Here is a 13,550-nt window from a genome sequence, read left to right as displayed (position 1 = left end):
AAAAATAAACCTTAAGAGAGTTGAAGAGTAAACTGTGACATTACCATGCTCCCTTACAGGTAAGTTATGAACTCTGCTCTGGTCTGAAGAAACTTCTGGAACATCAACTCTACTGGGTAATACTGTTCTACTTTTTTTTCTTTTTTTTTTTTTTTTTTTTTTGGGAGACAGAGTCTCACTCTATCACCAGGCTAGAGTGCAGTGGCGCAATCTCGGCTCACTGCAACCTCTGCCTCCCTGGTTCAAGCGATTCTCCTGCCTCAGCTTCCCAAGTAGCTGGGATTACAGGCACCTGCCACCACGCCCAGCTAATTTTTCTATTTTTAGTAGAGATGGGCTTTCACCATGCTGGCCAGGCTGGTCTCGAACTCCCGACCTCAGGTGATCCGTCCACCTCGGCCTCCCAAAGTGCTGGGATTACAGGTGTGAGCCATGACACCCAGCCTGATGTCATTTCTTACTCGGAAAAGGAACAATAATTAAATAGGACAAATGCCGAAAACCACCAGGAATTAACCACCCACAGCAGGGGATGGGGCCCACTCTCAGCTCCTAGATTCATCTAACCTTTGCAGTTAACTCACAGTAGGACTTCTGTAATGGGCTCTTCAGCTATCTAGAGGCTTCCTGCCCCTCATTATCACTGCTCTATACAATACAAGGAAAAATAAATTGCACAGTAAAGCAAAATGTTTTGACATCCCAACACAATGAGAGACACACCTGAGGTCCTCTAGCAGCTTAAGTTTAAAAACGAACTGAAGACAGGACTTTCCCTTCTCTGTTGGAAAATACCGCCAGGAGCACAGTACTCTTGTGAATGGTACTTCTATGTTCTAAAGGAAAAATGCTTTTCTGTCTCTGAGCTCTGTCTCCAACCTGTGGTCTTGTAGATTTCTCCTGAGAGCTTCCACCTCCCCTGCATGATCCATTCTTGTGCTGGCCTTAAACCAGCCATGACTCACACACATGCAGAAGAGTAAACATCACTAGTTTAAAAAAGAGAAATAGTTATTTATACACCCTTCCTCACAGAGCGTTAGTCACAATAGCCAAAAGGTGGAAGCTGCCTAAATGTCCATCATTGGATAAATGGAAAAACACAATGTGACATATACATACAATGGAATATTATTCAGCCTTTAAAAAGAAAAGAAGTCTGATGCAGGCTACAACATGGATGAACTTGGAAGACATCATGTTAAGTGAAATAAGCCAGTTACACAAAAACAAATAGGGTGTGATTCCATCACATGGAGTATCCAGAGTACTGAAACTCAGAGACAGAAAGGAGCATGGTGGTTGCCAGGAGCATGGTGGTTGCCAGGAGCTGCGGGGAGCGGGAAATGGTGAGCTGTTGGTTAGTGGATATAGAATTTCAGTTTTGCAAGATGAAAGGTTATGGAGATTGGCTGCACGATGATGTGATATACTTAACACTGCTGAATAGTGTACTTAGAAATAGTAAAGACAGTAAGTTTCACATTGTTTTTTAATCATAATTAAAAATACATAAAAAAGAGAAATACTTTCAAACCCATAAACTGGAATTGCTCTTTACATTACAATTGCATTTTTACTGGACTTCTTTTAAGATATCAATCTAATAAGAATCTACTGCGTATAATGGTGTTGACTCATTTGCTTCTCTCAAATAAGAGCTACTAGTATCATCTATTGTTTTACAGACAAGGAAACTGAGGCACAGAGTAAGTAAATAAGTTTTGCAAAATCACACAATTACAAACTGAGGGAATTTGTCCCATATTTCACCCTCCTTTATCTCATACACGCCCCTTCTCTTTCTAAAGAGTCTTATAAGAGTCGGCTTCACTCCTTAACTTCCTGCAAACAGGCTTTCCCCCATACCACTCCCACTAATCAGTTCTCCTAAAGGTCACCAATTACCTCCGTATCACCACTACTCACTTTTGTAAGCTTATCTTCACTTGGCTTCTCTGTGGCATGTGATACAGTTGACCCACCCTTTCCTTCTGGAAATTATCTCTTCCCTCTGTTTTCTGGACACGATTCTTCCCAGCAATCCTTCTACTTGTCTGACCACTCCTTCCTTATCGTGTTCTTAAGCAACACATTTTCTTCCCCAATTTCCACCCAAACAATGGCTATTCGATGACTGAATGAGCAATTAAGTAATATTTACTTTAAACTTATTTCACACATTGCCGGGGTTCTTTTGAAGTTTGCAGGTTCTAGAGCCTTCGGGATATAGGCTCTCTAGAGCTGTCACTTGAAAGTGAGGGTTCTATTTTATTTACTTTACACCTCTCAATGCCTACCACAATGTAAACCTCACTCTTGTTGCCTAGGCTGGAGCGCAATGGCCTCATCTTGGCCCACTGCAACCTCCGCCTCCCGGGTTCGAGTGATTCTCCTGCCTCAGCCTCCCAAGTAGCTGGGCTTACAGGCATACACCAACATGCCTGGCTAATTTTTGTATTTTTAGTAGAGACGGGGTTTCGCCACGTTGTTTAGGTTGGTCTCGAACTCCTGACCTCAAGGGATCCACCCACCTCCACCTCCCAAAGTGCTGAGATTACAGGTGTGAGCCACTGCAATCGGCCCCAATTTAATCTTAATATAACTTAATCCTCGCATTCAAACCTGCTTTTCCAGGTATATTCTTCCAGTTTTTACTGCCTAAAGCTCCCAAATGATTCAAATGTCAAGTTCACGCCAAGGCCAGTTAAGGGTCTAACATGGGTTCTAGATAATAGCTAAAACAGTAGAAAAATTGTTCCATTTCACTTATTGTGTATTTCTCAGATCCCTGCCAGGTCTCCCTGGCTTGGAACGGCCCCCTGAACTGTCTTATAGGAATGGCCACAGCCTCCTGCCCCTCCCCAGCAGTTGTGTCCCAACTGGCCTTTCTGCCTTCGGAGTGCCTCGTCTGTCCCAATATGAAGCATTAAATGAGATTCAAACATTCCGACAATGTTCCTGCATCTTCTAATTCAATTAGTTGAGCTAAATATGTAAAACCCTAATAACAGAAAATTAGAGGAAGCTCAAAAGGTGTATGCATGTTGGAGTCAGCTAAATTTTGATGAAGAGTAAATTAAGTTAGCTATAGATTAAATTCACAGTATCTCACTCACTAGGAAGTCACACAACACCATTGTTTCATCCTTTGTTATCTTCCCTTGAAGACTTTGCTTTACCCACAGTCCTCTGTAAATGTTCTCCATTGCATCCTTTTTTGAATAGTACATTCTGAAGTCTACTTCTGATCTCTGACCTCACAGATGTTCTCCTATTAGTTCTATGCTCAGCATAACGGAATGTTAATAGGCTGTTATGACTTACTCTACAAAAATCAGTGGTCTCAATCCTGCCGGGTAAATAAGCTACTTTGGCGGGCACGGCTATCCACACAGCATTAGGTACCATTTGATAAGTCATAGCCTTCAAAGAACAAAAATTTATCCTAAGGAATTCAGAACTTTCATAAACGGATTTTTTGTTTGATTTAGATATTGAGACTAATTTTCCACCTCCTTCTACATACCTGAAAAATAGCAAGGTGGCAGATCCTGACTAGCCTATAATATGGACAACATCCAAAATATTGCACAACACTGAAAAGATAAAATTTCAACAGAGAATGATGAGTACTGAGTTATGAATTTTGGGACACAGTTGGCTGGTACAAGAAAGGTTTTTGTTTTGTTTAAGTCTAGGAATAAAAGTACTATATAACAATAATCCCCTGGTAGATCAAGCTAGGACTTTGAAAAGGCACATGGTGGAATTCAACATCAATTTTTCATAAAAATTATCTTTCAACAAATGAAAGGTCATTCTTTGATAATAGAAGTGTGATAGTACATGAGGCTGACCCAAGAAGGTATCAATTTTAAGATGCAGCAGATTTTTAAAAAGATCATCTTGCTTTGAAAGAATGAGAAAAGAAAAGCTTTTCTAAACTTCTAAGAGTTAGAGAAAACATATTTTCTTTTTTCCTGGGGTTATCTTGGATCGTATGTGTATTCACAGTTAAGGTTTTTTTCAGTGTTTTGTTTTGTTTAATACAACACATCTGTAAAATTATTACCAAGCCAGAAGGCTCTACTTTCTTTTTTTTTTTTTTTTGAGACGGAGTTTTGCTCTTGTTGCCCAGGCTAGAGTGCAGTGGCATGATCTCAGCTCACCGCAACCTCCACCTCCGGGGTTCAAGCAATTCTCCTGCCTCAGTCTCCCGAGTACTTAGGATTACAGGCATGCGCCACCACGCCCGGCTAATTTTGTATTTTAGTAGAGATGGGGTTTCTCCATGTTGGTCAGGCTAGTCTTGAACTCCTGACCTCAGATGATCCACCCACCTCGGCCTCCCAAAGTGCTGGGATTACAGGTATGAGCCACTGCACTCGGCCTTTTTTTTTTTTTTTTTTGAGACAGAGTCTCACTCTGTTGCCCAGGCTGGAGTGCAGTGGCGCCATCTCAGCTCACTCCTGCCTCCGCCTCCTGGGTTCAAGCAATTCTCCTGCCTCAGCCTCCTGAGTAGCTGGGATTACAGCCACCTGCCACTACACCTGGCTAATTTTTTATTTTTTATTTATTTTTAAAGACAGAGTTTCACCATGTTGGCCAGGCTGGTCGTGAACTCCTGACCTCAAGTGATCTGCCTGCCTCAGCCTCCCAAAGTGCTGGGATTACAGGCACCCGCCACCACGCCCAGCCTAATTTTCTGTACTTTTAGTAGAGATAAAGTTTCACTATATTGGCCAGGCTGGTCTCAAACTCCTGACCTTCTGATTCACCCACCTCAGCCTCCCAAAGTGCTGAGATTACAGGCATGAGCCACTGTGCCTAGGAAGGCTCTACCTTCAAAGAGACGATTGTCTCTGGAGTTCAAGTATCTGAAAGGGACTGGAGAAAGGAGTGTGGTTTTTTTTTGTTTTGTTTGTTTTGTTTTGTTTTTTGAGACAAGTCTCGCTCTTGTCGCCAGAGTGCAATCGCGCGATCTCAGCTCACTGCAACCTCTGCATCCCGGGTTCAAGTGATTCTCCTGCCTCAGCCTCCCGAGTAGCTGGGATGACAGGCACCTGCCCCCACACCCGGCTAATTTTTGTATTTTTAGTAGAGATGGGGTTTCACCATGTTGGCCAGGCTGGTCTTGCCTTACCTCAGGTGATCCGCCCACCTCGGCCTCCCAAAGTGCTGGAATTACAGGCGTGAGCCACCACACCCAGCCACGAGTGTTTTATCACAGTCTTACTTCAGAATTATCCCCTGCATAGGGATAATAAAAGCACAGACTGACTTTAATAGTCAATTTTATTATTGTTTTTTTTTTTTGAGACTGAGTTTCGCTCTGTCACCCAGGCTGGAGCCCAATCTCAGGCTCACTGCAAACTCTGCCTCCAGGGTTCAAGTGATTCTCCTGCCTCAGCCTCCTCAGTAGCTGGGACTACAGGCATGGACCATCATTCCCGGCTAATTTTTGTATTTTTAGTAGAGACAGGGTTTCACTATGTTGGTCAGGCTGACTTCGTCATCCACCCACCTCGGCTTCCGAAAGTGCTGGGATTACAGGCATGAGCCACCATGCGGGGTCTATTGTTCCTAAATTTCCTACAGACAGTGAACTCTCTCATTGCCTGTAAAGAGAGCTAAGCACTCCCACCGCCCCCAATGCCCTTCGAAGAAGAACAGATTACATGGAACATAATTGTCACCATCGCCTCCATGAAATCTTCCTGACTGCAAACCTTCCCCACATCCAGGTCCCCATAACTCCTCACTTGTTAAACAGTTGTCATTTGCTGTTTATTTTTCTTTCTCCCTGCTCGATTTTGAGGTTCTTCAGGTCACACATCTTTACTCTACTTTCCCAATATTTCCAAATGCCTTGCAGAGTGCCTAAAACACAACAGTCCCTCAACACGGTCATTAATTTAAGAAAAATCCATTGAGCATCTGTTCGTGACCAGGCCCTGCTCTAGGCACTGGGGTTACACCCGTGAACAAAACATACGGCAGCATAAACATAAGCTTACATTGAAGCAGTGTTTACATAAATGAATGAACATTAGAGCGCCAACATCTTCTTGATAGATCGGAAACTTTACTCAGTGAAACAAAAACAAAACACGCACATGGCCAGCTTTTACATAATTCTTTCACATTGCGAAAGTTAAGTCTAAGCCTGGTTTGCAAGTGAAATTTAGAATCCTAGAATTATCACTTGACACATGGATTTCCCTTTATCAATGATAAATGTTCAAGGACATGAGCCAGAGTCCTTAAATTTCCATCATACTACTATTAGGCCCACAAACTATAACTTGCCCTTGGATGCAACCAAAATTATCTTCAAAAACTGAAAACCATGTTTCATGAAAACACCTCTTTCATAGAAGAGGTATTTAATGAGAACCAGTCTTTCACCACCACCCATTACTATTTCCATAGAGTATTTCTAATTTTCTAAATCCTTTCATTTCACTTATTTATTTATTTATTTATTTATTTACTTATTTATTTTGAGACAAAATCTCGCTCTGTTGCCCAGGCTGAAGTGCAGTGGTGCGTTCTCGGCTCACTGCAACCTCCACTTCCCGGGTTCAAGCAATTCTCATGCCTCAGCCTCCTGAGTACCTGGGATTACAGGCACCCACAACCACACCCACCTAATTTTTGTATTTTTAGTAGAGACGGGGTTTCACTATGTTGCCCAGGCTGGTCTCGAACTCCTGGCCTGAAGTGATCTGCCCTGCCTTGGCCTCCAAAAGTGCTGGGATTATAGGCATGAGCCATTGCACCCGGCCCTCATTTTATTTTATTTTATTTTTATTTTTTGAGACACAGTCTCACTCCGTCACCCAGGGTGCAGTGCAGCAGCACAATCTCGGCTCACTGCAAGCTCTGACTCCTGGGTCCACGCCATTCTCCTGCCTCAGCCTCCTGAGTAGCTGGGACTACAGGCGCCCGCCACCACGCCCGGCTAATTTTGTTTTTGTATTTTCAGTAGAGATGGTGTTTTACCATGTTAGCCAGGATGGTCTTGATCTCCTGACCTCAGGATCCGCCCGCCTCAGCCTCCCAAAGTGCTGGGATTACAGGCGTGTCAGCCACCGCACCCGGCCCCTCATTTTATTTTTATTGTCTCATTTGAGCCCTCACATAACAGATGACATAGATAGGTTAGGGTTTCTTATTGTGTTTTCTTTATAGATGCATAAGTGGAGGCTCATGGAGCTTATGTTATTTGCCTAATTGCATGCAGTTGGTAAGTTGCAAAGTCAAACTTAAAACTAGAACTATGAACTCCAAAGTCAGCAGTCATGCTCTTTCTAACTGCATTATACCATCTACAAGAAAAGATACAGGCTGAAAATAGAATTGGAAATATATAGAACTCCCAAATCCAACATGATTTACTACAGACATTCTCTCTTCTCTCTCTCTCTCTCACTCTCTCTCTCTCATACACACACCCCACAATTTAGAGATCCACAAGCAAATTCACCAGTAACTAGCAATGAAGACTACTCTTTCTATAACAGATATTAGACCTTCCAGACAATTTACCTAGGAGTAATCAACATAATTACTGTATTCACACTTATGGATTACTGAAGGTGATCATTTCATCTTACTAACTGTACGGTCAAAGATGGTAAACTCCATTCGGTAAACTCCCAGAGGACCAGGACTGTGTCACATCCCTGTGCAACCCCAGCCCTCAGCACGCCTTCCAACTTGTAGCAGGGCACTCAGCAGATACTCAATGAATGACCACACTGCTGTGTTAGCAGCTGTTGAAAATTGGTTTAAGAGTTTTCATTAAGATTTTCTGCGTTTTCTCCATAGTCTACCACTAATTTGACTTTGAGCCATTTAAAGGCAGAGACACTCTGTGTCTTCCTGTATAAATCATGTACAGAACCGCAGATGGTGTCATACTCATGTGGAATGTGTGTTGAATCAATATTTGCTCATTGATTTGTTGCTCAAATGACACTACTTGGTTGTGTTTATCTGGCAAATCATGCGATTTTAATAATTAGTGTCTGAGGTGGAAACATGCCTTTAACAAAAAAAATTAGGGGTGAATGTGAAGTGCTGAGAGTGATACTGGCCTACAAGATGTATATTAGATGGAAACACATTACTTCCACTGCAAAATTAATAGAGTAAAAAATACATGTAGATAAAAATCTCCAAAAGTAACACCACTGTTATTGCTTTTTACACACACACACGCACACACACACACAAACACACACACATACGCAATAAAGGAAGCATGACAAGTAACAAAAGTAACTTCAACACCACTGGGAGCCTAAAGAATCACACTATGCTGACTTGCAATGTAGAGAAGCATCCACTATTGGTCTAGGAAATCAAAAAGACGCATTCTCTTGTCTACGATCACTATGTTTTATGAAGATTCTTCTGACAAAAGCACATGCGCTAAACATATTATTAGACTCCTAGACTGAATGAGGTGTTTTGATAAATCAAATTACTGATTCACTAAAGGTTAACCAGAAACCCATTTATACTTTGAGCCTTCTGAGTGCGGTAAGAGGTGAGGGAATCAGAGAATCTCAGCATTAGCAGGGACAGCATAGATCAGCCAATTAAATCTCCCACCCAATGAAAGGAAGCCTTTCTATAGTTATCGCTGACGTCTTTAGGATATACATTAATTAGTCCATGTTTTCACGTAATGAACATAATTTAATCTTTCTTTGATGACAAGGGATTTTCAAATTGTGCAGGGTCATGTTTGGAACCAGAATCTTTAATGTTCTATAGATGAGGTTGTCATAGGACACTGGGCCAAATGGATACAGATCCCAGGATATCTCCAGGAAAAGACACTTCAAAAATGTTAAATCCTTAATATGTTTTACAATTATATATCTCTTTCTTATAAGATACATGCTCAAAGGAGCATATGCTGATTAAAGAGTTGAGATTTCTGAGTTCTGGTTATCTGGAGTTTAATTTTGTCTTCATTGAGAAAAATAATTTGATACTACTATGAGTTCAAGCAGTCAGATCACAGCCAAAGGCAATGATGTTGTTAATGCTTAACTGAAAACTCTTCTGAATTATTAATGATAATAGCATAATTTCTGCCTTCAGATAAATACATATTTATTTCAATTGAAGTTTGTCCAATGATAAGAGTATATTGTAATGACAAACCAGCACACCCTTAGAAGGTGCAATTCATTTACATTATTTTCCACAATAGATGCAGTGCTGAAAACAGGGGTACATAGAAGGTCTTTGTTGTAAATCTCGTTACATGTAAAATGCTCTGGGTGAAGTCACCAGTCTAAGAGTCCCACAATAAGCAATACATAATATCAACTACTACCTTTGTTTATATTTTACTGGCAATCTTTTTTTTTTTTTTTTAAGAGTTGCAGCTTCACTCTGTCACCCAGGCTGGAGTGCAGTGGCACGATCTAGGCTCTCTAGGCTCACTGCAACCTCCACCTCCCGGGTTCACGCCATTTTCCTGCCTCAGCCTCCCGTGTAGCTGAGACTATAAGCGCCCGCCACCACGCCCAGTTAATTTTTTGTATTTTTAGTAAAGATGGGGTTTCACCGTGTTAGCCAGGATGGTCTTGATCTCCTGACCTCGTGATCCACCCGCCTCGGCCTCCCAAAGTGCTGGGATTACAGGTGTGAGCCACTATGCCCGGCCATTCACTAGCAATCTTAAATCTTTGGGCCGGGTGCAGTGGCTCATGCCTGTAATCCCAGCACTTTGGGAGGCCATTGCAGGCGGCACACTTGAAGCCAGGAGTTCAAGACCAGCTTGGCCAACATGGCAAAACTGCATCTCTACTAAAAATACAAAAATTAGCCAGGCATGGTGGCACATGCCTGTAATCCCAGCTACTGGAGAGGCTGAAGCATGAGAATCACTTGAACCCAGGAGGTGGAGGTTGCAGTGAGCTGAGATCACACCACTGCATTCCGGCCTGGGCAACAAAGCGAGACTCTGTCTCAAAATAAAAATAAAATAAAATCTTTCTATGTTAACTTTTTCTAAAGCAAAGCACAACTTTACAGGATATCTTCTCCAAGAACAACTTTCAAAACCCCTGAAGATACACAATCAAATAATACACTAATGGCGTGCAGTCCCTACCCTCCCAGAGTTCACATTCCCACCAGCAACATAGGCAAAAACCCAACTAAATGTTTATGCAACGTCAGAGGGATGCGTTTCATGAAGAAAAGCAGGATAAAGGGATAGAGAGAGTTTGAAGGCAGGGTGTGCTATATTAAATCACTCAGTGAGGCCTTTATTAAAGGTGGCATTTGAACAGAAAGGAAGGAAATGGCCAGTCAATCAGATAGCAAGTACAGAAGCCTGAAACTAAAGCATGTTTGCTTGGACATGTTCAAACAACATTTGCAAAAAAAGACAATGTGGGTACAGCAAAGTAAGCAAAGGGAAGGGAAAAACAGTAGGAATGAGATCCCAGAGGTGGTAGCATAAGAAGGCAGGCTATATAAGGTCTTGCAGGCCATGTGTAGAGGCAGCGGTTGTCCACCATCCGGATAACCATTCAGGACCAAGACCCTTATTCCTCCAGCTGCTGGCAATGTTGCCTGCTGATGGCTCACCATTGTGTACCTACCCCCGCAAGATGTTCTACTGCATGACAATGGAAACTGCAACTCTAATCATCCTATACATACTCCCAGGAATTCCTTTAGTCCTGAGTTTTCAAAATAGCTACTGCCTAGCCTGAACATATACTTAACTGGTTTTTTTGTTTGTTTGTTTGTTTGTTTGTTTGTTTGAGACAGAGTCTTGCTCTGTCACCCAGGCTGGAGTGCAATGGTGTGATCTTGGCTCACTGCAACCGCTGCCTCCCAGGTTCATGCGATTCTCCTGCCTCAGCCTCCTGAGTAGCTGGAACTACAGGCTCACCCCACCATGTCCAGCTGATTTTTTGCATTTTTAGTAGAGATGGGGTTTCTCCATGTTGGCCGTGCTGGTCTCGAACTCCTGACATCAAGTGATCCACCCACCTTGGCCTCCCAAAGTGCTGGGATTACAGGTGTGAGCACCACCACGCCCGGCCACCTTAACTTTTATGAGGAAGAAGTAAAACATGACCGTAGGTGCAGTTTAAAAGTTGAAGAAATGTTTAAGAAATGTGTTAATAGAACAAACTTGCAATTGGTATCCCTACCTCCTAACCCCTCTTCCTCCCTTGTTTCCAATCCTAGCTGGTAACGTCTATCCAATCATTTCAGCTAGAAAATTAAGAGCCCCATCCCTCACCTGCTACCACCCCCTACGCACATCACACCATAACTACCACATCACAACCGTTACGAAGTCCTGTGAATTAATCTCCAAATATTCCTCATATCTGTCTCCTCCTGACTATCCCCAGTGCCTACACCTGCCTCCATTCAGACCCTCATCTTTTTTTTTTTTTTTTTTTTAAAGATGGAGTTTTCGCTCTTGTTGCCCAGGCTGGAGTGCAATGGCACAATCTTGGCTCACCGCAACCTCCGCCTCTTGGGTTCAAGCGATTCTCCTGCCTCAGCTTCCCAAGTAGCTGGGATTACAGGCGACCGCCACCATGCCCAGCTAATGTGTTTTCAGTAGAGACAGGGTTTCTCCATGTTGGTCAGGCTGGTCTCGAACTCCCGACCTCAGGTGATCCACCCGCCTTGGCCTCCCAAAGTGCTGGGATTACAGGCGCCCAGATTCTTTTTTTTTTAAACGGGATCTCACTCTGTTGCCCAGGCTGGAGTGCAATGGCGTGACCTTGGCTCACTGCAACCTCTGCCTCCTGAGTTCAAGCAATTCTCCTGCCTCAGCCTCCCAAGTAGCTGGGATTACAGGCATGTGCCACCACGCCCGGCTAATTTAGCAGAGATGGGGTTTTGCCATGTTGGTCAGGCTGGTCTCGAACTCCTGACCTCAGGTGATCCACTTGCCTCGGCTTCCCAAAGTGCTGGGATGACAGGTGTGAGCCACCACGCCCAGCAGACCCTCATCTTTCATCCATTTGGCAATAACCACTCAACTGGATTCCCTACTGCACATCTCTTCCCATTACCCAATTCCATCCAGCCTCCACATAGCTGGAAAAGTAGTCTACTATAGAATACACATCGCCAGCTACATACATGACCCTTAGTCTAAGACCTGATCTTGGCTTTGCTCTGCAGCCTTGTCTTCCAGCACTTGACCCCTACCCCCTTTAACCCACCAATACCAAACTATTGTAGCTATCGCCCTACCCCATGATGGTCAAGTCCCAGATCACCCCTCTGGCTAGGAAACAAGCCCTACTTCCTAGATAAGATTAACTCCATCCTGGCTAACACGGTGAAACCCTGTTTCTACTAAAAATACAAAAAATTAGCTGGGCAGGTGGGCGGCAGGCACCTGTAGTTCCAGCTACTTGGGAGGCTGAGGCAGAAGAATGGCGTGAACCCAGGAGGTGGAGCTTGCAGTGAGCCGAGATCGCACCACTGCACTCCAGCCTGGGCAACAGAATGAGACTCCATCTCAAAAAAAAAAAAAAAAAAAAAAAAGATTAACTCCAGGTCATTCCTTAAGATCCGGCCAGAGCATTTTCTCAAAAGTGGCCCCTGATTTCAGTCCCTGACAAAAATGGCTTAGTTATACCCCCATAGCCCATATCATACTGTACTAAAAGCACCTATTTATGTCCACCCACCCCCACCAACCCCCTGCAACCACCACCGCTGGACACTTAAGTTCCTTGAAGACAGAGACCATTTCCAGAAGGCAGTACAGTACTTAGTACGTGATAGGCAGGGGGAAGAAAAGAAAGACTAAACCTAACTATTTATTACTGTCTGATATTTATATAAAGGAGACTGTGGATGAATATTTTTAAAAAGAAAAGAAAACACTGATGGGAGCAAAAAGAGAAAACAAACTTAAGAATAGCAGAATGGAGTCTTAAAACAACAACAAAAACTTCAACAAATGCCAGAAGTGTTTCCAACTGCACATATTCAGGATACCCTGGTCTCAATGTACTCTATGACACCTTCTGAAGAATAATACAAATAACAAGAGGCCCAAAATGCATTATTAACTGGTACCTATGGATTTCTTCTCCCATAAAGTGATACGAGCAATACCCCCAATGTGGATAGAAACAAAAATGCCTCTTGGAGATGTACTCTGGGACTATAGATAGTGGAAGTACACAAAGGAAAAAGCATGGAATTCTTTTTGGGATTGATTTCCCTACAGTTTTAAAGTATGTTTTCTTCCTATGTCATTATCAGAGTTAGCATACTTAAAATAGAATTGGTGGCAAATGTGGGTGTCAAGGCCGGGCGCAATGACTCACGCCTATAATCCCAATACTTTGGGAGGCCAAGTCGGGTGGATTACCTGAGGTCAGGAGTTCGAGACCAGCATGACCAACATGGGAAATCCTGTCTCTAGTAAATACAAAAAATTAGCTGGGCGTGGTGGTGCATGCCTGCAATCCTAGCTACTTGGGAGGCTGAGGCAGAAGAATCGCTTGAACCCAGGAGGC

At 43.1% G+C, this 13,550-nt stretch overlaps 1 long non-coding RNA gene across 1 annotated transcript in view, besides 1 other annotated feature; it reads right to left on the bottom strand.

Annotated features, from left to right (window-relative positions):
- Positions 1-13,550, bottom strand: part of CASC15 (cancer susceptibility 15) — a 529,408-nt gene that overhangs the window by 293,917 nt on the left and 221,941 nt on the right. The gene's annotated exons all lie outside the window — the stretch shown is intronic.
- Positions 10,492-10,786: a silencer, noted in NCBI's record as "tiled region #8833; K562 Repressive non-DNase unmatched - State 21:Repr". NCBI's record gives its function as "represses a minimal TATA promoter and a strong SV40 promoter by Sharpr-MPRA in K562 cells {active_cell/tissue: K562}" and the evidence as "EXISTENCE:reporter gene assay evidence [ECO:0000049][PMID:27701403]".

The sequence above is a fragment of the Homo sapiens genome, chromosome 6, assembly GCF_000001405.40.
Source record: "Homo sapiens chromosome 6, GRCh38.p14 Primary Assembly".
In the NCBI taxonomy this organism is placed as follows: Eukaryota; Metazoa; Chordata; class Mammalia; order Primates; family Hominidae; genus Homo; species Homo sapiens.
This window is presented reverse-complemented; position numbering and strand designations above follow the sequence as displayed.